Source organism: Homo sapiens, chromosome 4, assembly GCF_000001405.40.
Source record: "Homo sapiens chromosome 4, GRCh38.p14 Primary Assembly".
NCBI classification, from domain to species: domain Eukaryota; kingdom Metazoa; phylum Chordata; class Mammalia; order Primates; family Hominidae; genus Homo; species Homo sapiens.
In genome coordinates, this window is record NC_000004.12 from 61,363,018 (window position 1) to 61,386,593 (window position 23,576).

Genomic DNA, 23,576 nt, shown 5'->3' on the forward strand with positions numbered 1-23,576 from the left:
ATATCCCTCAACTGACTTTTTCATGGGTTTAAAATCTGTGTTATTGATACAGCTGTCTAGCTTGAGGAACTTAAAATATTTCTTTTAGAACTTTACATTGAATAGACTGTGATGCTAAGATGGCAGTTTCTCTATTTAAGCAATATCTTAGATATGAGTAGCATTTGTCCTAATGTTAGTTTCAGGGAGATTATTGTAATATAATGAAAGCCCACAGTGCTCCTAGAGATGTCCTACCTTCCTACTGCTGTGGGTGGAATTTTCAGTTGTAATTACAGTCTTCCTTTCTAAAGCTCCAATTAATTGAAGTAAAAGCCGGTAATTTTTTTTTTTTTGGATTTTTAAATATTTGGTAGAGTTTGTTCTTCATTTACTCTGCTATATTTTTATCTGGTAGTGACACTCACTTGCTTCTTTTGAAATGGCTAGAGTTGTAAACACGTAGGTTATGATGCCCAACCTAATATACGCATGATGCTTATTTCTCTCCTTTTTGAGTATTGTAGATACATGTTGCTTTGCAGCTGTGCCATTTAGAAATTCTCTCATGTTAAGAAAATGTTAACTTCCCTGAACTACAGATTCATCATCTGTTAAATGGTGATAATGTTATTTACTCTATAAATTAGGATTTCAAAAAGGATGTACATATGAAACATCAAGTTAGCATTTAAGGCCTGACTAGCTGAACATGTTTTGTGCCAATTGTGTGCTAGAGATAGTTCTGGATAGTTTACTTGGATTTTTTTTTAATCTTTTCAGTAACGCTTTAAGGTATCTCATAGTCCCGATTTTACAGATGAGTAAATTGAGGCAAAAGTACTTTAAGTAAGTTCATGCAGCTAATGTAAGAGGTAGAATTTGTAATCGAGCAGCCTGTGTCCAGAGCACGCACCTTTTGGGTTGTTTACTGTTATGCATATATATTTTATATGTCATATATATAATCTGTGATAAATAATTGGTGGGCGTGGTCAAATAATAAATAATATATGCCGTCCTCTGGGTTTATCATAGTGAATGATCAATAAAACATGAAATAGGCTGGGCGCAGCTGTAATCTCAGCACCTTGGGAGGCCAAGCCGGGTGGATCACAAGGTCAAGAGATCGAGATCATCCTGGCCAACATGTTGAAACCCCGTCTCTACTAAAATAAAAAAAAAAATTAGCTGGGCATGGTGGTGCACACCTGTAGTCCCAGCTGCTCAGGAGGCTGAGGCAGGGGAATCGCTTGAACCTGGCAGGCAGAGATTGCAGTGAGCCAAGATCGCACCACTGCACTCTAGCCTGGTGACAGAGTGAGACTCCGTCTCAAAAAAAAAAAAAAATAATAATAATAATAATTTTAAAAATCATGAAATATGAGTATATGGGCAATATATGTCGTGATTTATAAAAATTAATGGTATCACTGTATTGAGGATTTGGTTTGTTTTGCTTAAAAACATATTGTACTTCTTCACTGCTTTCATTTTTTTTTAAAACAAAACATTGGCCTTACTTTTTTAAAATATTTATTTATACAACTTTCTTCCACAGGGCTTTAAGCAGCTATTTATTTTTGTAGCACACGAAATAGCACACTGTCTAGAAAACAGCAGATTTAGAATAACTATTGTAAGATAAATGAATAAATAAGTAAATGAAGCCATTAACACGGACAGAGAATTAGAGAAGGACATTCTAAATGTGAGTCACCAAATGTACAAACAGGTTGGAGTTAGAGATGAAGACAGAGCATTTGAGAGACAATAATCATCACCAAAATTCAGTAATAATAGCAATGGTTACTGTAATGTTGTTTGTGGAGGTCTTTTCTCTTCGATAGTACCTGAACGTTAATGTCATTCAATGTCAACTTTTGAATGACTGTGGTATGATATTTTAATAGATACGATAAATAATAATTCAGTGCTCATATTCTTAAAAGTTCTAACAATTGTGACAAACCTTAGCCTGAGGTTGAATTTCTAGAGGGATCATTAAATACTAGGATATTCTCTAAAAGACAGAAAAAAATGCTTATCTGGAGAAGGGAATGGAAGATAAGTATTATAAGTTAATATCATTATGCCCAAGTCATAGAAAATGGTTATGACATTACGACTATAATGCAGATACATACTGCCCAGACATCTCTTTAGCCAAAGTTGGTTCTCTAAATAGGAAGATTTTAAAAAAATGAAATCATTGTTACTGAGTTTATTTGACTGGAAGATCACAAAAAAATTACAAAAAAAAAAAATTGAATACAATTTACCACTCAGAAGTTTAACTGATTGTTCTAAAACATATAATGTAATTTTCTTTTGCTCTACTGAGACTGCTAAGGGGACCAATATCTTGGCAAGTGCAAAAGGCATAGAACACACTCCCAGCTAACAGAGGCTCTTGATGTTCAAGAGCATTTGGGCTAAACTATCTCAGAAAGAATTAGATCATTCATATATTGGAGGCAAGGGAAAGGTATCTGCCTTGGTGCCTCACTTACCCTGTGTTTTCAGGAGGCCTAGATATAGTTTGCAGCAGTGCTGCTGGATACTAGGAAGTCTCATCTTCAGTATCTGCTGAGGCTGGGGGTATGCCCCATGGCAGCCAATTTAAAATTGCTTCAGCTTCAAGAGGAAAAACAAATTTTAGAACACCTGAATCTCTGCAGGCAAATCTCTGAATATTTTCCTGCCTAAAGCATATAGCACTGTAGATCACCAGTTAGTATCTTTAGAATTGGCAACTATTAACTGAAAAATTAATTTTTCTTATTATCTCTCTCTCACTTTCAAATAACAGAAAAAAATGAGAATTTCTATTTGTATAGTTAGAATTCTATATAATACCTGCAACATTTTCAACACATGATGAATATAAATTGAAGAGAATAATGATGAAAGGAGGAAAGATATTTATGGGGTTTAGAAAAGCTATAATCTTAATTTTCTTGTGAAGCATTGTTTCTCAACAAGTTATTTTTTTAGAACTGGTCTGAACTAGAGTTTACAACTTACCTATAATTTTGTTTGGCAAAGATAAATGTTTAGGTATTCTGTGATATGCTAGATCCTTTCCTTGAAAATAGTAGATTAGTTTTAGGGAAAATTTCTGGCATTTAAATATTTTCTTTAAAAAAAAGAAATAATGGTCATTACTTGCTTTCTTTTAAAATAAGCATTCTCTTTCCAATATGTATACAGCCACCAGAGCTGCTGAAAAGGTTCTAGATTTCTATAAAGCCATGATTTTATGGAACATTTAAGTGGCAGTAATTTGGCTGGCTTTACCATCAGCTGCATAAACATCAATGTCTATTGACACATTATAAAGGCACAAGTGGAGTATAGCCTGACATCCTGATGCCTGTGCTGAGGTTTAATAGTGCATCTGTATCACTTTTCCCAGTGGGAAATAACAAGATGTTGCATTGTAATTTTTTACTACTGTATAATAAAATATAGCCGTAATAAATAGCATCTAAGCAAATAAAGCGGATTTGGACCAAATCCATTTTGCCTTCATCACTTAGTATATAGCTCATGCTTTTAAGTAGTTGTGGATCCTAAATTGGCTTAATTGGATCAACTTGCATTTGACTGTCTTTGACTGCAGTGAAGTAGAGACAGATATTTTATTTTTATTTGCTATTTAATATTTAGGTAATATTTTTTAGTAAATTTGCTTTTGTATTCCATTGTGCTTATTAACAGTTTGTCTGGATTATGATGTAAATTGTGTTCCAATTAAGTTAGTTGACCTTTTAAGCTTATTATTGCTGTTGCTTTGTTATTTTTACTGTTATTCATATACCTAATGTTGATAATTGAATAGTCAAACCAAGACTGTTGTGTACTGTTAAGAAAGTTTACAATTGACTGTGAATGTCCTGGTAGTAGGAACAATATTTAACTCAGTTTTGTAGCACAGTTAGCTAGCCCCACTTTAGGTTTACTGTGGCTCTTTCTTTGTTTATTAGATTGATTATAGAATGAAAATGATTGTAAACAATGTTCTTTTGAAATCTAAATATATAAAAGTTTGCCTTTTATGTAATTTAATTTGTCATCCATTTTAATAGAAGTAAAAGTTAAAGTAGCACATTGAAATATTAAAATATTAAAAAGCTGCTGTCTGTTAGGAATTTTGCCAAACATTAGAAGAAAATAGCAAATTTGGGATGTACAAAAATGATTTCAGACAAGTTTTTTAAAACTGTCGCTTTTTTTTTTATTTTTTTATTATTATACTTTAAGTTTTAGGGTACATGTGCACATTGTGCAGGTTAGTTATATAAGTATACATGTGCCATGCTGGTGTGCTGCACCCACTAACTCATCATCTAGCATTAGGTATATCTCCCAATGCTATCCCTCCCCACTCCCCCCACCCCACAACAGTCCCCAGAGTGTGATATTCCCCTTCCTGTGTCCATGTGTTCTCATTGTTCAATTCCCACCTATGAGTGAGAATATGCGGTGTTTGGTTTTTTGTTCTTGGGATAGTTTACTGAGAATGATGATTTCCAATTTCATCCATGTCCCTACAAAGGACATGAACTCATCATTTTTTATGGCTGCATAGTATTCCATGGTGTATATGTGCCACAATTTCTTAATCCAGTCTATCATTGTTGGACATTTGGGTTGGTTCCAAGTCTTTGCTATTGTGAATAATGCCACAATAAACATACGTGTGCATGTGTCTTTATAGCAGCATGATTTATAGTCCTTTGGGTATATACCCAGTAATGGGATGGCTGGGTCAAATGGTATTTCTAGTTCTAGATCCCTGAGGAATCGCCACACTGACTTCCACAATGGTTGAACTAGTTTACAGTCCCACCAACAGTGTAAAAGTGTTCCTATTTCTCCACATCCTCTCCAGCACCTGTTGTTTCCTGACTTTTTAATGATCGCCATTCTAACTGGTGTGAGATGGTATCTCATTGTGGTTTCGATTTGCATTTCTCTGATGGCCAGTGATGGTGAGCATTTTTTCATGTGTTTTTTGGCTGCATAAATGTCTTCTTTTGAGAAGTGTCTGTTCATGTCCTTCGCCCACTTTTTGATGGGGTTGTTTGTTTTTTTCTGTAAATTTGTTTGAGTTCATTGTAGATTCTGGATATTACCCCTTTGTCAGATGAGTAGGTTGCAAAAATTTTCTCCCATTTTGTAAGTTGCCTGTTCACTCTGATGGTAGTTTCTTTTGCTGTGCAGAAGCTCTTTAGTTTAATTAGATCCCATTTGTCAATTTTGGCTTTTGTTGCCATTGCTTTTGAATGAAGTCCTTGCCCATGCCTATGTCCTGAATGGTAATGCCTAGGTTTTCTTCTAGGGTTTTTATGGTTTTAGGTTTAACGTTTAAGTCTTTAATCCATCTTGAATTGATTTTTGTATAAGGTGTAAGGAAGGGATCCAGTTTCAGCTTTTCTACATATGGCTGGCCAGTTTTCCCAGCACCATTTATTAAATGGGGAATCCTTTCCCCATTGCTTGTTTTTCTCAGGTTTGTCAAAGATCAGATAGTTGTAGATATGCGGCGTTATTTCTGAGGGCTCTGTTCTGTTCCATTGATCTATATCTCTGTTTTGGTACCAGTACCATGCTGTTTTGGTTACTGTAGCCTTGTAGTATAGTTTGAAGTCAGGTAGTGTGATGCCTCCAGCTTTGTTCTTTTGGCTTAAGATTGACTTGGCAATGCGGGCTCTTTTTTGGTTCCATATGAACTTTAAAGTAGTTTTTTCCAATTCTGTGAAGAAAGGCATTGGTAGCTTGAGGGGGATGGCATTGAATCTGTAAATTACCTTGGGCAGTATGGCCATTTTCACAATATTGATTCTTCCTACCCATGAGCATGGAATGTTCTTCCATTTGTTTGTATCCTCTTTTATTTCCTTGAACAGCGATTTGTAGTTGTCCTTGAAGAGGTCCTTCACATCCCTTGTAAGTTGGATTCCTAGGTATTTTATTCTCTTTGAAGCAATTGTGAATGGGAGTTCACTCATTATTTGGCTCTCTGTTTGTCTGTTGTTGGTGTATAGGAATGCTTGTGATTTGTGCACATTGATTTTGTATCCTGAGACTTTGCTGAAGTTGCTTATCAGCTTAAGGAGATTTTGGGCTGAGACAATGGGGTTTTCTAGATATACAATCATGTCATCTGCAAACAGGGACAATTTGACTTCCTCTTCTCCTAATTGAATACCCTTTATTTCTTTCTCCTGCCTAATTGCCCTGGCCAGAACTTCCAACACTATGTTGAATAGGAGTGGTGAGAGAGGGCATCCCTGTCTTATGCCAGTTTTCAAAGGGAATGCTTTCAGTTTTTGCCCATTGAGTATGAGATTGGCTGTGGGTTTGTCATAGATAGCTCTTATTATTTTGAGATATGTCCCATCAATACCTAATTTATTGAGAGTTTTTAGCATGAAGGGTTGTTGAATTTTGTCAAAGGCCTTTTCTGCATCTATTGAGATAATCATGTGGTTTTTGTCTTTGGCTCTGTTTATATGCTGGATTACATTTATTGATTTGCGTATATTGAGCCAGCCTTGCATCCCAGGGATGAAGCCCACTTGATCATGGTGGATAAGCTTTTTGATGTGCTGCTGGATTCGGTTTGCCAGTATTTTATTGAGGATTTTTGCATCAATGTTCATCAAGGATATTGGTCTAAAGTTATCCTTTTTGGTTGTGTCTCTGCCCGGTTTGGTATCAGAATGATGCTGGCCTCATAAAATGAGTTAGGGAGGATTCCCTCTTTTTCTATTGATTGTAATAGTTTCAGAAGGAATGGTACCAGTTCCTCCTTGTACCTCTGGTAGAATTCGGCTGTGAATCCATCTGGTCCTGGACTCTTTTTGGTTGGTAAGCTATTGATTATTGCCACAATTTCAGATCCTATTATTGGTCTATTCAGAGATTCAACTTCTTCCTGGTTTAGTCTTGGGAGAGTGTATGTGTCAAGGAATTTATCCATTTCTTCTAGATTTTCTAGTTTATTTGCATAGAGGTGTTTGTAGTATTCTCTGATGGTAGTTTGTATTTCTGTGGGATCGGTGGTGATATCCCCTTTATCATTTTCTATTGCGTCTATTTGATTCTTCTCTCTTTTTTTCTTTATTAGTCTTGCTAGTGATTTATCAATTTTGTTGATCCTTTCAAAAAACCAGCTCCTGGATTCATTAATTTTTTGAAGGGTTTTTTGTGTCTCTATTTCCTTCAGTTCTGCTCTGATTTTAGTTATTTCTTGCCTTCTGCTAGCTTTTGAATGTGTTTGCTCTTGTTTTTCTAGTTCTTTTAATTGTGATGTTAGGGTGTCAATTTTGGATCTTTCCTGCTTTCTCTTGTGGGCATGTAGTGCTATAAATTTCCGTCTACACACTGCTTTGAATGTGTCCCAGAGATTCTGGTATGTTGTGTCTTTGTTCTCGTTGGTTTGAAAGAACATCTTTATTTCTGCCTTCATTTCGTTATGTACCCAGTAGTCATTCAGGAGCAGGTTGTTCAGTTTCCATGTAGTTGAGTGGTTTTGAGTGAGGTTCTTAATCCTGAGTTCTAGTTTGATTGCACTGTGGTCTGAGAGATAGTTTGTTATAATTTCTGTTCTTTTACATTTGCTGAGGAGAGCTTTACTTCCAAGTATGTGGTCAATTTTGGAATAGGTGTGGTATGGTGCTGAAAAAAATGTATATTCTGTTGATTTGGGGTGGAGAGTTCTGTAGATGTCTATTAGGTCCGCTTGGTGCAGAGCTGAGTTCAATTCCTGGGTATCCTTGTTAACTTTCTGTCTCGTTGATCTGTCTAATATTGACAGTGGGATGTTAAAGTCTCCCATTATTAATATGTGGGAGTCTAAGTCTCTTTGTAGGTCACTCAGGACTTGCTTTATGAATCTGGGTGCTCCTGTATTGGGTGCATATATATTTAGGATAGTTAGCTCTTCTTGTTGAATTGATCCCTTTACCATTATGTAATGGCCTTCTTTGTCTCTTTTGATCTTTGTTGGTTTAAAATCTGTTTTATCAGAGACTAGGATTGCAACCCCTGCCTTTTTTTGTTTTCCATTTGCTTGGTAGATCTTCCTCCATCCTTTTATTTTGAGCCTATGTGTGTCTCTGCACGTGAGATGGGTTTCCTGAATACAGCACACTGATGGGTCTTGACTCTTTATCCAATTTGCCAGTCTGTGTCTTTTAATTGGAGGATTTAGTCCATTTACATTTAAAGTTAATAGTGTTATGTGTGAATTTGATCCTGTCATTATGATGTTAGCTGGTTATTTTGCTCGTTAGTTGATGCAGTTTCTTCCTAGTCTCGATGGTCTTTACATTTTGGCATGATTTTGCAGCGGCTGGTACCGGTTGTTCCTTTCCATGTGTAGCGCTTCCTTCAGGAGCTCTTTTAGGGCAGGCCTGGTGGTGACAAAATCTCTCAGCAGTTGCTTGTCTGTAAAGTATTTTATTTCTCCTTCACTTATGAAGCTTAGTTTGGCTGGATATGAAATTCTGGGTTGAAAATTCTTTTCTTTAAGAATGTTGAATATTGGCCCCCACTCTCTTCTGGCTTGTAGGGTTTCTGCCAAGAGATCTGCTGTTAGTCTGATGGGCTTCCCTTTGAGGGTAACCCGACCTTTCTCTCTGGCTACCCTTAACATTTTTTCCTTCATTTCAACTTTGGTGAATTGGACAATTATGTGTCTTGGAGTTGCTCTTCTCGAGGAGTATCTTTGTGGCGTTCTCTGTATTTCCTGAATCTGAATGTTGGCCTGCCTTGCTAGATTGGGGAAATTCTCCTGGATAATATCCTGCAGAGTGTTTTCCAACTTGGTTCCATTCTCCCCATCACTTTCAGGTACACCAAGCAGATGTAGATTTGGTCTTTTCACATAGTCCCATATTTCTTGGAGGCTTTGCTCTTTTCTTTTTATTCTTTTTTCTCTAAACTTCCGTTCTTGCTTCATTTCATTCATTTCATCTTCCATCGCTGATACCCTTTCTCCAGTTGATGGTATCGGCTCCTGAGGCTTCTGCATTCTTCACGTAGTTCTCGAGCCTTGGTTTTCAGCTCCATCAGCTCCTTTAAGCACTTCTCTGTATTGGTTATTCTAGTTATACATTCTTCTAAATTTTTTTGAAAGTTTTCAACTTCTTTTCCTTTGGTTTGAATGTCCTCCCGTAGCTCAGAGTAATTTGATCGTCTGAAGCCTTCTTCTCTCAGCTCGTCAAAGTCATTCTCCGTCCAGCTTTGTTCCGTTGCTGGTGAGGAACTGCGTTCCTTTGGAGGAGCAGAGGCGCTCTGCTTTTTAGAGTTTCCAGTTTTTCTGTTCTGTTTTTTCCCCATCTTTGTGGTTTTATCTACTTTTGGTCTTTGATGATGGTGATGTACAGATGGGTTTTTGGTGTGGATGTCCTTTCTGTTTGTTAGTTTTCCTTCTAACAGACAGGACCCTCAGCTGCAGGTCTGTTGGAGTACCCTGCAGTGTGAGGTGTCAGTGTGCCCCTGCTCATGGTGCCTACCAGTTAGGCTGCTCGGGGGTCAGGGGTCAGCGATCCACTTGAGGAGGCAGTCTGCCCGTTCTCAGATCTCCAGCTGCGTGCTGGGAGAACCACTGCTCTCTTCAAAGCTGTCAGACAAGGACGTTTAAGTCTGCAGAGGTTACTGCTGTCTTTTTGTTTGTCTGTGCCCTGCCCCCAGAGGTGGAGCCTACAGAGGCAGGCAGGCCTCCTTGAGCTGTGGTGGGCTCCACCCAGTTCGAGCTTCCCGGCTGCTTTGTTTACCTAAGCAAGCCTGGGCAATGGCGGGCGCCCCTCCCCCAGTCTCGCTGCCGCCTTGCAGTTTGATCTCAGACTGCTGTGCTAGCAATCAGCGAGACTCCGTGGGGCAGGACCCTCCGAGCCAGGTGCGGGATATAATCTCGTGGTGCGCCCTTTTTTAAGCCCGTCGGAAAAGCGCAGTATTCGGGTGGGAGTGACCCGATTCTCCAGGTGCGGTCGGTCACCCCTTTCTTTGATTAGGAAAGGGAACTCCCTGACCCCTTGTGCTTCCCGAGTGAGGCAATGCCTCGCCCTGCTTCGGCTCGTGCAGGGTGCGCACACTCACTGACCTGCGCCCACTGTCTGGCACTCCCTAGTGAGATGAACCCGGTACCTCAGATGGAAATGCAGAAATCACCCGTCTTCGTCGCTCAGGCTGGGAGCTGTAGACCGGAGCTGTTCCTATTCGGCCATCTTGGCTCCTCTAACTCTGTCGCTTTTTCTAAAATATCTAGTTCATCTTTGCTCTTGATTTTTTATTGTAATAACCACAGCATGCTATTCTTAAAATTGTAATAAGCATATAATTTGAAATAGTATCCTAGAGAAATAAGAGACATAACAATTTTTCATTTATAGGTATACATAAAATTATGTTTGCATATTTATCCCATATGAATTTGAGAATTTAACTTTCATTGTTAAGGGGGAAAGTAGAAAAAATGTTAAAATGTTAAAATTTTTGTTATTAGCATTTCCTTTATATCTCTTGAATGCATACTTCAAAACGAATTGATTACATTTAATAACAATGGAAATTAAAATCAGCATCAATTAAATTTAAAAATAATGCAATACTTTAATTCAGATAAATCATTTTCATAGTTTGCTGTTCTTTGACTTTTGTTATTCTGAAAAATATTGTTTCACTTTAATAGACTTTTTTACTTTTTAAAGAGTTGTGTTGCTAGCTGTATGCAACATCCATTATTTTTAAAAAGGTCTGTGGATGCATTAACTTTTTCCTACAAAAAGCCAACAGGTTAAAAACATTTTAATGAACCTTATTTGAAAGGATGATATGAATTTTCCCCCAATAGTCATGCAATATCTAAATAACTTAAAATGTAGATTTATATACTCTTCTTTTTATGTCTATAACATATAGACATAAAATATAAATACTTAAAAGTAATGTCCTCAAAAGGCAGAGTAAAATACCCACACATACACGAATCCTTTGAACTTCATCAAGGGGGTTAACTTTTGCTTCTCTGTAATGCCAGTATTACCTAACCTTATTATGACTAGCTTGAATCATGTATGAGTAAAACTTCAGTTATCTAGGATCTTGTTTGGGTGGGTGTGGGGTGAATTCTTTGGGTAGAAAAAAATTTCTGAAAAGTTGGGGCAAATATCCCTCCTATTCAAGTGTCCACTGCAGATGTTTGCATTTGAATAGTATAACTATTTCCAAAGTTCTTTCTGTTTTCCTCAGAGCTTTAGGTATTTCTTCTGGATGTCAGTTTGTCAATACTCTGCTTTTGCTTCTTCTGATTTCTCTTTGTTAGAACTCTGTATAGGAAAGAAAGAATAAGTAGGTCTTGATTGAGGGCCTCTCCATGAAGTTGAGTTGAATTTTAGTGCAGTGTGCCTTTTTTTTTCACAAACATGTTTTCTGATTCAGGCTTGTAAGTTACATTGGTTTGATTTCCAGATGTTGGAGTCTCAGATAAGGGACTATTACTGTGGAACATGAAGCACATTTTTAAGACCTCAGTACTGAAGATTTTCTGCTTGAAATCTTAGACAAAGTGAGAAATAAAGCTTCATGCGATGCACTACAGGCAATGTGGGAAGGGGGCAGAGAAAAAAGGAGAAAGCAGAATGGCAATGCAATGGAAATCTGATATTTGATATGTAAGTTAATCCCTTTCAGACCTCCAGCCAGATTTTTTTTTCACTTGTGCAGAAGCATTTCTTTATTTCCTTCTTTCTGCTTTTTAATCCCACATTCTGCCCCCTGCACAGTTGGAATGTTCCCAAAACACTTTGGCAGAGGTCACTTCTCAGAAGCTTTTTAAACTTTAGTTAGAATACATTTATTGATTTTTTTTTAATGACCAGAGGAATGAGGATTTTTGGAAAAAGCTTATCTGAGGTTCAGTGTCTGGCTTGGCAATCCAAACTATTTTAAACCTCTGAGAACACTTCATTAGATGCCAGGTTCTTGTGTTTAGTAAAACAGTAAGGATTCTGGCATATTGGATTTTTGTGAGATTCGTATCACCTGACAATTTGGCCTTCTAGATATGTGACATAAAAATCATTTTTCTGGAACTGACATTCAGAAACTGCGTGAGTTTACAAAAATTTGGTAACTCTTAAAAAAAAATCTATCATGAGTCTGTAGAAGGTATTTGGTAGCATGTGTTGGCACAATAACTTGTTCTTAGGCTATTTTTCCTTGTATTTAATAGTTCAAGATTAAACTCTAAATTTATTTATCTAAATTTACCATGAAGAGAAAGTACAGTTTTGTGAACTAAAAACTGGAGGGTTAAAGACAGGATAAATAAATGTTTAAAGAAAAGGATTTTTTCTTAAGTAGAGCATTTCTGCTTGAATGAAATTTTAAATTTCTTGCTCAAATTTTGGACATAAACCGGGACAAGATTTCCTACATCCATAACCCTGAGATAAGTATCATATGAATCATCAAGTGTACTCCCTGAGTTACTCTGACTTACACTGTCCCAGCATGCATGTTTCAGGTTAGATTTTGGTATGTTTAACCAGTGTGAAAGGAAAGGAGATGGAGCAATGGTAGAGTGCTTAAATAATATATATGTTGAAAGCTGATTATTTTGCAACACATTTCAAAATGTTTTAGTACAGAGCCTCTGTAAACGGTAAATATCTCTAAGACATTCAAAGTGAATTAATTAATATGCAATCTTTCCAAAATACAGCTCCTATAAAGACCAAGGGGTCTATATGTTCTCTTTGTATATTCATCTTAGAAAAAAATACATGAGTTTAGAATTCATATTTGTAGAAGCAATAGCAATCAGTGTCACTTAATTGCAGGTATATATTGAAAATTATCTATTTGCTTTATGAGTGGTAGTTTCTCATTTTAACAGGAATTCTGAGAACACATGTTTTCTTTCCTGAATTGACTCCCTTGTATTTTGAACAATATTTATTAATAAAGTATACTGTATTCCTACTGAAGTTGAACAAATGAACATTGATCTTTGTAATCCCCTTCTTCCTAAAGCTTCTTAAGTACTTAAATATAAATTATTGTTATATTTTCATTACTTGCAAAGCAAACTTCCAATTGTTTTGAACTGTTTTGTCATAGAATATGTAAATGTGTGTACTGTTTAACAATTATTATTTCATGATATAAACTGCAGGGTAGATTTCAGCATGTTCTACTAGAAAATTACCATTTAAAAGTATAGAGGGTAGTCACATTTTATTATAAATGAGAGAAGCTTAATAATTCCATTATAGAAGTTGGAAACCATGATTAGTATGCAAATACCACTTGTCATGTGTAATTATAGTCATAACATAGCCATTTTGAGGGATAAAAACAGAGGATAAGTTAAATGCTGTTTTTTTTTTAATACTGATAATTTGAAAGCTATTTCTTAATCAGAGAAAGAAAGGAGCAGGCGTTGCTGAGGAAATATCTTCCTGGACGCCCACCAAGTCTTCCTAGGGTTACAGACATGGGCTGCTGACTACTTGTAATGCAGAAGTATTTAAAGGAGAGCAGGAAACCCCCTGCCCCAGGTCATTAGTCCATCTTGCTCATATGGAATTTCCATTTTGTACTGAATCGTTTTCTAGATGTCTGTTCAAGCCTCCATCAGTCACATCTGCTGTGTATTTTACCATCTTTTCTCCCTTCATAAGAAGCTTCTTATTTTCCTGTCTACAGCAGAATGCTAGAACTCTTCCTGAGGGTGGGTTATTCACAGCAGTTCTTGTTTTCTCCTTTATTATGTCATAGGACAATGGCTACATAGTTCCTTAGATACTAGCAGTAAGTTGAAGCATCTGTGAGTCAATCTTCGGCTAAACTTGAAGAAGGAATTGATTGTGGCTATGGAAGCTGTGGGAGCTTTGGGTAGCTTTTGATACTTGAGAAAGAATAGTTCTCTGCACTAAAGGAAATAGAGAAAAGACCTAATCCTTGGTTTTAATGTTAATAAAGTCTCTTCTCTGAGGGCAAGAACTGTATCTGTATCTGTTTACACTGCCCTATTCCTAGCTGTTACCACAATGGCTGGGTATATAGAAGACACCTCAGCACGGGTTCTTCCGTTCCCTTCTTTTGCCTTTACCTTCCCTATCATATCCTATGGTATGGTATGGTAGGGAATGGTACGGAATGGTATAGTATCATATCCTAGCCCATCCTCCTATCCTGTCCTATCCTACCCTACCTTATATGTGCAGACAGGCAAACTGATAGTCACCACAATATATTTCTTCCCTTCCTTGCATCAATTATAATGTATTTTAGTATTTATGTAAACAAAACTTATGAAACTCAGCCTTCTATAAGCAAAATTGTTGGGTAATATATTGACTAAGGTTTGAGGATCATTCTCTGGATTTTCTGCATTTTTTCCCCTAATAATAACCTGTGAGTTTCCTTTTTGTTGTACATTTTTATGTCCTTTATGGATCTGTTGAGTATTACCAAAAAATCAATTATATGTTTTTCAAGGAGGAAGAAGCTTAAGAGTAATTTCATCTATTTGTCATGTTAAAAATGAAAATGCTACCAGATAGAAAAGGTGAGGGATTTTTTTCATAGCATAAATAAATAATCAGTGAGATTTTAAATAATTAGTAGTCATTTTAACATTGGTCTTCTGGTAAAGTTTACACCTTCTTTCCTTTATTCCTCTATTCTTTCCTTCATTCCCTCTTTTTTTGCTCACTTTGCATTTAGCTCACTCTTCTTTTTCTCTTTGTTTAAGGTAGAAGCTTTGATTATTGATTTGAGATCTTCCTACTTTTCTAATGTAGGCTTTTAAAGCTATAAATTTGCCTTTGAGTACTGCTTTCACTGCATCCCATAAATTTTGCTATGGTGTGCTTTTGCTTCCATTTAATTAAAATATTTTCTAATTTCTTTTGTGATTTCATCTTTGACCCTTGGGATATATAGAAATGTTAACACTTTCAAATATTTAGGGATTTCCAAAATCTATTTTTCTTTTTATTTCTAATTTAATTCTGTTTTGGTTAGGCAACACAATTTATATGATTTTTCATCCTTTTATATTTACTAAGATTTGTTTTTTGATCTCACATTAAGCCTATTTGGGGATGGGAGAGAGACAGGAAAATTCCCAAGCAAAATGACATAGGACCCCCATTGTTCTTACCAGAAGTTCAGTAGTTTTTCTTGATAAACATTTCCTAATTTGTTAAATGACTGGCTAATTTCTATAGTCCTGAAACAGTTGTTTTTGGCAATTTTGTCCAGTTTTATCATTGATTTTTGTGGAGACCATTTGCCAGCCTACTCATTTAGCCGTTCTCAAAGTTCCACCCCCAGATACTTTATATAATGGAGTACCCTTTCTTGGGGCCATTGGCTAACAGGTAGAAAATATGGGTGCATTTAGGACTAAACTTTGTACTACTGATTTAAAGTTTACCAAGCATATAGAGATGAGTCTGTGCAAAAACAGTTGAGCCTAATTTTTTCGGAGGATGAGACTTCAGCACAGTGTTTAAAACTTTGAACAAGTGTACAGGGGATCACATTAGCTGACAAGCCACTCTGTTCAGAATAATCTTGTCTGAGGTGCCAGTCAGCAACCCAAGCTCGCTGTTATGGAATTCTATTTGGAGTAGGGTGGTGTCAAAAAGTGGTGTTTGTAATACAAAAATTGTATTCATCCTTTATAAATTCTTGAAAACCAGACTCTGTGAAAAATAAAACAGTGCTTTTGTGGATTATTGAGCAGAAAATCATCATGAGAAAAATGAAGTCTTAGGTTGTTCTGGGAACCATTTGCGAGGCAGATTTGAGAGGGGCTTGAATGGTCTTCTGAGAGGTACTATTGAGGTGTGTAGACCAGTGAGACAAGATTAGTGGCAGGTGGTTGAACGAAGTACAAATTGTCTTGGACTTTTGCCTTTAAAGTATTTATGTAATAACCATGGTAATATTCGTGAATTATAGCTTTCTAATCTGTAAAATAGGGTGAAAATTTATTTTCTGTCTATTTTACACAGTGATGAGGATTATGATATTGGAAATAGAGATGAAAAAACAATCTGAACACTATCTAGAGAGAGGTGGCACAAGATGATGCTTATCAATAAGAAACCAAAGTAGAAGATATTTGAAAATCACCCATAGACTAGTCGGGTGAGACCTGAAGGGGGTAGTTGGAAAAAGGATTTGACCATCATAAGTAAAAAGATAACATTTGAAGGCCTAGTTGTGGAGGTGGACTGTCGTAAATGTGATAATTATGTCTATTTTCAGATCATTGATTCACATTTTCCTATTTAACATCCAAAAAAATTGAAATGATGGATATGAAAGCCATATACTTCTTTTTACAAATCATAAAATTATATTAGTAATACCTAATATGTAACTGTCTAGTTCTAAGAATGATTTAAGGATTAACTCTTGTAGACAAAAAGATACTCCATCATAAAAATTTCTCTAACTCGTTGTATTGTTTTTTAAGTCTCAATTACACTGACCTTTTTAAAAAATATCACTGTCATCTTAGGCTGAAAGCCATCTAATTAACTGACAACACAATAGTCTTTTAAAAACATGTTTGTTCATGTCACTTCTTCATTGACTCATGAACCCTGACTGGATAGTTCAGTAGGTGATGCCACATAATATTGGAATTAATGTCACTTGGACTGAAAAAATAACATATTTTCCATCTTAATTCCACATTAATTTATAATGGGATTCCTGGAATCTTATTTTAGTACCAAAATGTGAAAGTGTCTTCTAACAGTAATCAGTGTCATGAAATTCTGAGATGATCATTTTCTAAAATATTGATTTTGGGAAGTTTATTTTCTGTCTTTTGTTATAAACATCCCGGTAAGAAACAAAGGCAGTAATAATCAGTATGTTATTTGAAAGGCTTGAGGATGTAGAGTCTGAATTTGGCTTTTTTGCCTTCAAATTCTGGCCTTGCCACTAATATCCATACCAACCTCAGAGAATTGTTTTAAAGGTTAAATGTGAATTTAACTTGCCAAAAAAGTAAGAATTTTACATATAAATAGAAAATGTATGTAAATTATTTATACATATATCTATTACACATAGTAATATAGTAATATATTTTATAAATATGTAAAAATGTGTGTATGTATATGTATATGTATAGACACAGACTCACATTTTCTGTGTGTGTGTTTGTGTGTGTGTATGTGTATGTATCTATCTCTTTCTTTCACTTACTGCTCCACAACTGGAATGCAGAGGTTAGCTCTGTGAGTGCTATTTTCATCTGTTCAGTTCACTCCTGAATTCATACCAACTAGAGCAGTGCCTGGCATTGAGTAAATATTTGATGAATCAATGAAGTTTCTCTACTTTTTAAACTTTCCATTTTAGGATTAGAAAATGTACCTTGAACATTCATATTTATCATGTATTCCAGTTTTTTTGTAATTGATGAATTGAATGTCATTTTTATTTTATTTTGCATTTTGGAGATCTTATATATGTGATTGCTTTACAAAGTTTGATTTAAAGCAAAAATTAATTTAACTTTTAATTTTTAATTAAAGCAATCTAGTACTCAAACTCAAAACAATTCCATCTAATTCTCAAGACCTAGAGTGAGTTGCAATAATTTCTGGTGCATTGCTTTTTATGTCGCTTTCGAACGATATGGAACTATAAAGTAATGAAGCTATGAACATATATTTGCCGGCATTTATTTTTATCCAAAATAAATTACACTTTTTGTCTTTCCTTAGTGCTTTGCTCCTAAATAATCACATTGCTCAAAACAATATTTCTAGTAGCTCCTTTTAAAAGATCCCTTTTAGATCAAGTTTCTTAATTACAAAAGAAATTCAGTCGTATTACTTTTTACTGATAGAACAGTATCATTTGATATAATACCTTTTCCTGCCCTTCTTGCAGTTTTCTTTTCTATTTTCTTCACCCTCCTGCTCGCCTTTTTCTTTCTGGTGTTTTCCCTCACACCTGGTTGCCTTCTCATTAGCAGGCTAAGTGGCTCTATGTAAGCCTGTCCTTGGTTGGAGCTGTCTGCTGACTCTCAAGTGTCATAAGTGGCTGTAATTGAGAAAGGCATTGAGATGTTGAATAGCCAAAGTGTAAATGGAAGACTCTCTGTCCTTACCTATAAAAAGAAAAAGAATCTATAAAGGTAGCTATACAAAGAAATTGAAAGACACATATAATAGTGTACTTTTGTTTTTGGTCTCAATTTATGTGCAGCCAATACAGACAGTTTCCAATAAACAAGTTTGTGTGTGTGTGTGTGTGTGTGTGTGTGTGTGTGTGTGTGTTTAATTAAGAAATGGAAATGATTTGTTTACCCAGTCAGCATTTCATGGCGCGGTTAGGTGTTTGGTTCCTTAGAGAGGGGTGATACAGATTGAAGAAGCCACAGTCTCTGTTCTCTAGCAATTCATATTGTAGTGTAGCTTTCAACAAAATAGAGAAATGTACAAAGAGGTATAGGAGTGTCAGGGAAGATAAGATTGGTTTTATCTGTGGTGGAGTGGGTTTGGTAGTATCAGGGAGAACTTTGTGAAATTAGTCATGCTTGGATGTCAGAATGTATTTCCCAGATGGGAGGGAAAAAAATAAAAGATCTTAAAGGTGATGGTATTGTAGGTAAACCTGTAGAGAACAACCCATGATTGTTTAGATATGTAGAACATTTGAAGATGAGATACGCCAGTTCTTCAAAAACCAGGGAAAAAAGTGACAGCCAATAATTATTGAGAGAGCATGCTAGAATGATCATCCAGTGAAATTTAAGCAGTTGATTAAAAATTTGTTTTTCCTGCCCAAGCAGTCAAGTGTGGCATTCAAGTATGAACTTGAATTGTTCTTGTGGTACAAAAACCTCACTAATTGGGCAAATAGAAGTGGACACTCACTCCAAAAGATACAGTGAGTTTCATTGCTTTAATATTTTTTAAGTTCCTGAACAAAATATAACGCTTTTATTAGTGAATAGCTTTCACTAATTTGTTTTCATTTTATATCATAGTATATCTTATTTTAATCAATAGTGATTTGGTAAAGTAGAGCTCAACTTTAATTTTATGCTATTGACTTTCTGCCCTGTATCTCATTCTTTATCCATTTGGGGGCAAAATTCTAGAATAGATAATGGATTTTGTCACTGTTTAGCATGTATGTAGTTACTTAACCTCCTGATTGCATACTAACACTAATAGCATAAATAAATACTAAATATAATAATAATTAACTAATACAAAGAGCTTTGTGTAAAGCTCTTTGTGTAGTCACAAACTAGTAACTAAAACTAAAGAGCTTTGTGTAAAGCTCTTTAAATAGACATACTAGAACATTCAAAAATTGATATGGCCAGTTGCAAAACCATTAGAAAATATTAAATATCTAAAGAAAATACTTTGAACGATAATACTATTTTCTGGGTGTAAAAAGTCTGTTTTATTATTTGTTTAATAAAATTAAAAAATTATGGTAATTTAAAGAAAATAAAAACTCAAATGCCTCTATAAATCTTTCATTTAAATAAACTTACATTTCTGTTTATTTCTTTCTATTTTTTAAATCCAAATTTATTTAGATTATTGTGAATAAATAGATTACAGTATTTGTGTCTGTATACATAAATAAGGGTGTGTGTATGTATATGTGTATGATTAGATGTGCTAAGGTGCTTCTCAATTTGTTTTCTATGCCTGTTACCTAATGGCAAAAGTGGTAAGACTAATCAATCCCAGTATCTTAGCTTGAAGAGCCTGTGGCAAGAAATAGGGACATTTCTTGGAAATAGCAAAATTTATATTAAAAACTGTTATAGTCTTTTAATTAGGAAAAGAAATCTGTAGCTACCAAATCCATCAATTTTCCCAGTAAACATTATAATAAATTAGATAGTCTAGGAAGATGTGTCATCTGCATCCTAAATTTCCTCTACATACCATAGTTCTGCTGTGAGACCTCAGGCATTGTGGGAAATAATAGACTTGACAACCAACAGGAAATATTCAAAGCATTCTACAACTGTAACCATAAAACAGAATATTTAATTTTTCTCATAATCAAATTAAATATTTTTTTCTTTTTTTTCAGAAATGTTTAATTTGGTAAATTGGAGGAAAAAAACATGGATTTTTAGCAATTGAAGAGCAAATTAAGGTAATTAGTAGATTATTATTGCCAACCATATAATTTCAAAATTTATTTAAAAATATTTACATTCAAGTTAATATATTATTTTGAGTCTTTATCATATTGAAACATCAGCATATTTGTAATGTGTTACTAAAATGGAATTTTACATATTTTTGGAAAATAAATTGCCATTTCTTGTTATACATTTTCCAAAAATCATATTTCTTGTGAACAAATTATAAGTGATCTAATTAAAAATATTGCTGTTGTGAGGAAATATACTCCAGTTATATGAAAAATAAATGAGCTAAAAATAAGAGTTTTAGTAGGTCTTCACCTTTTCAGAAAGGCACGTATGTTTTATTACTTTCTTAACTAATGTAGAATAACCATATTGAGTTTTTTTCAGTTGCTACATGTACACTAACACAATGTGTTAAAGTCATTTTTCTTTAATTCATTCAGTTTTCAATTACATAATTCATAATGTTGAATATAAATATTAGGTAATAAAATATATTCTTTTGGTAGCAACACGATGTTTAATATTAAGCAAATTACTTTAAAAATTATGTTATTTATCAGAAATATGTTTATGAAGTCCAGCATTTCAAGCAGTGTAACTTTAAGTCAATATCCATATTTACATCTTCCCCAGAAAATCATAGAAGGCAAAACAGGCCCACATATTAATCAATCAACAGTTCAATGAGAATTTCCTCTTTTCTTGAAGTTACTGAAAGTAATTCCTGTAAAGTTACTTTGTAAAGTTTAGCATGTACATTATTATAAATACAGAGCCTAATATTTGAAATATCAACTTTCTTATTGGTCTTCATATTAAAATGATTTAAGTTCATTTCATTTTGAATTATTGACATAATTGATATGTACTTTAATTGCTATCATCTATTTTCAAATATTCCGTACTTTTTTCTGAGCTTTAGGAGTAAAGAGTGACTTAAAACTATAAAAATATTGCACTTGCCTTTCTGTGCACTACGTTTTCCAGTTGATGTTTTGTCTTTTAAATATTTTTGCTTAATTTCTTTGTCATTGTTTTCTTCCCCCTATTTATTTCTACATGCAAGCAATGTTGTTCCTGTTTTACAGAAGAGATATGATTGAATCTCTTTCATTTGGAATTTCTTGTCAGTGTTTTCTTCTTCACACTCAGTCACATTTGCAAACAATTAATATTATTTCCTTCTTTCAGAATAGATGTGATTGACTCTTTCATTTATATTTATTAGCTTATTTATATATTATAAAATATACTACTATATTACTATGTGTAATAGATATATGTATAAATAATTTACATACATTTTCTATTTATATGTAAAATTCTTACTTTTTTGGCAAGTTAAATTCCTCAAATCCACTGGTAATATTTATATTCATTTCTATAATTACTACATTGGTTTCTTCAATATAAAATTAACCCTTCTAGATATATTAACCATGCAAATAACATAGGCAAAATCTTTTTATTTAACGGAAGTTTAAAAACTCAACTGAATCTTTCTCTTTTCTACTTTTTTTTAATCAGCACTCCAGTAGAAGCTAATAAACTCTCAGCCCTAAAGAAATGAAGTAACGATTCATGTTACAACAAGGGTGAAACTTGCAAACATTATACTAACTGAAAAAGACACACACAAAAGGCCAAACATATGATTCTATTTATATGGTAGACCCTCAGTGATAGTATGTTAGTGGTTGCCAGAGGGTGGGGCAAGAGTGGAATGAAAAGTAACTGCTAACGGATACAAGGTTTCCTTTTGGGGAAATAAAAATATTCTGAAAGTAGAGAGCAGTGATAGCTGCACAACTTAGTGAATATAGTTTAAAAAACAGTGAATTGTATACTTTGAAATGGTAAATTTATGGTATATGAATTATATCTCAATTAAAATATTAGAAAACAAACCTGCCAAACATTTAACGGGGCAACAATCCCTATGATTTCTCCATAAACTTCATATTTGGGACCTGTGGCAGTCATTAAATTAAACATTATTTAGCCGTAATGCTTTCTGATTTTTCATAAAGAAAGTAAATATGAGGAGATGTTCTGAAATTTTATTCCAACATCCCCCTGAATACTTTTGAACACTCCGGGGGCCTCTAGAATAGAAAATTAAGCTTTTGTAAGGCAAACATGATACTTCACAGACTGTTCCAAGCCAACTTCGCCTGACTCCTCTCCTAACATTGTCTCACCACATATGTAATCCTGCAGCCACAGTGGAAACAGCAATCCTTCAATGGCCACCCCTTGCTCTTTCACAAACTAGTGTGTGGGCCTGGAATGTATAACCTCACCTTCCCTGTCACAACAACTCCTCCGTGAATTTCACAGCTTCTCTGAAGGTTTCAGCGCCTCCAGCAGAAGTGAACTGCTCCCACCTTTCTTTCTTCAGCAGTCTGTCAGGAACTCTCAAAATGTGCACAATAGTATCTGCAGTACTTCATCTTTCTCACTAGTTTTTAATATGTCCACAGCAAACATATCTAAGTTTGTTTGGATTAATTTTTGTAAAAAGGATGATTGCCTGAGCATGTTTTGTATATTGATTTATTTCACCAACATTAAGTACCAAATAAACTATTATATATTCAACTTTGTAAAAGAATGGCTGCCAAATTTAGTTGTTTTATAAATATGTAAAAATGTGTGTATGTATATGCATATGTATAGACACAGACTCACATTTTCTGTGTGTGTGTTTGTGTGTGTGTATGTGTATGTATCTATCTCTTTCTTTCACTTACTGCTCCACAACTGGAATGCAGAGGTTAGCTCTGTGAGTGCTATTTTCATCTGTTCAGTTTACTCCTGAATTCATACCAACTGGGATTTTGATGGTGGTGGTTGTTTGAAAGGGTATTTTACTGTACTCGTGTTGCATGTATTTGGTTAAGTGTATTTATGGAATTACTATCATTTTTAACTAAATGAGTCCTCACATCTAGAAAATCGCTTTTATGTAGCCCTAACGTCAAAATTGGAAAAATGAAGATTATTTTACTAATACATGACCAAGGCAACATTAAGAAAATGGCAGCTGATATTTCCCCTAATTCTATTATAGGTTATTTTTCAGTTTCATTATATAACATAAACACTACTCAGATTTATTAAGGAGCTAGCCAAAAACTTAAAATAATCAAGAAGACTATGAAATATGGATTTGACTCTTAAATTCTAAGTGATTAAACTTGTCCTAAGAATATATTTTGTTTTGAGGTATAAGTTAATGATAGTACACAGCAAAATAAATAGTAAGATTTGTAATAAATTAACATCTAGAACATACATGTAAAACCTCTGGTTTTGTTCAGCAGGGTTTATACTCATGGTCAATCTAGCAATTTACAAATTTTTACTAAACTTTGTGATAAATCTTTAGAAGCCTTATTGG

At 34.7% G+C, this 23,576-nt stretch overlaps 1 protein-coding gene across 59 annotated transcripts in view; it reads left to right on the top strand.

The window, feature by feature from the left end:
- ADGRL3 (adhesion G protein-coupled receptor L3) overlaps positions 1–23,576 on the top strand; it is an 878,010-nt gene that overhangs the window by 162,692 nt on the left and 691,742 nt on the right. For 36 of the 59 annotated variants that reach the window (NM_001387552.1, NM_001322402.3, NM_001387522.1 and 33 more), the window contains one exon: positions 20,107–20,172. The exons of 21 other annotated variants lie outside the window; for them this stretch is intronic. The gene's annotated coding sequence lies outside the window, so the exon portion shown is untranslated. Of the gene's footprint in view, positions 1–17,157; positions 18,931–20,106; positions 20,173–23,576 lie in introns of those variants that run through there. 2 more of the 59 variants (XM_017007930.1, XM_017007937.1) reach the window with 1 other exon arrangement.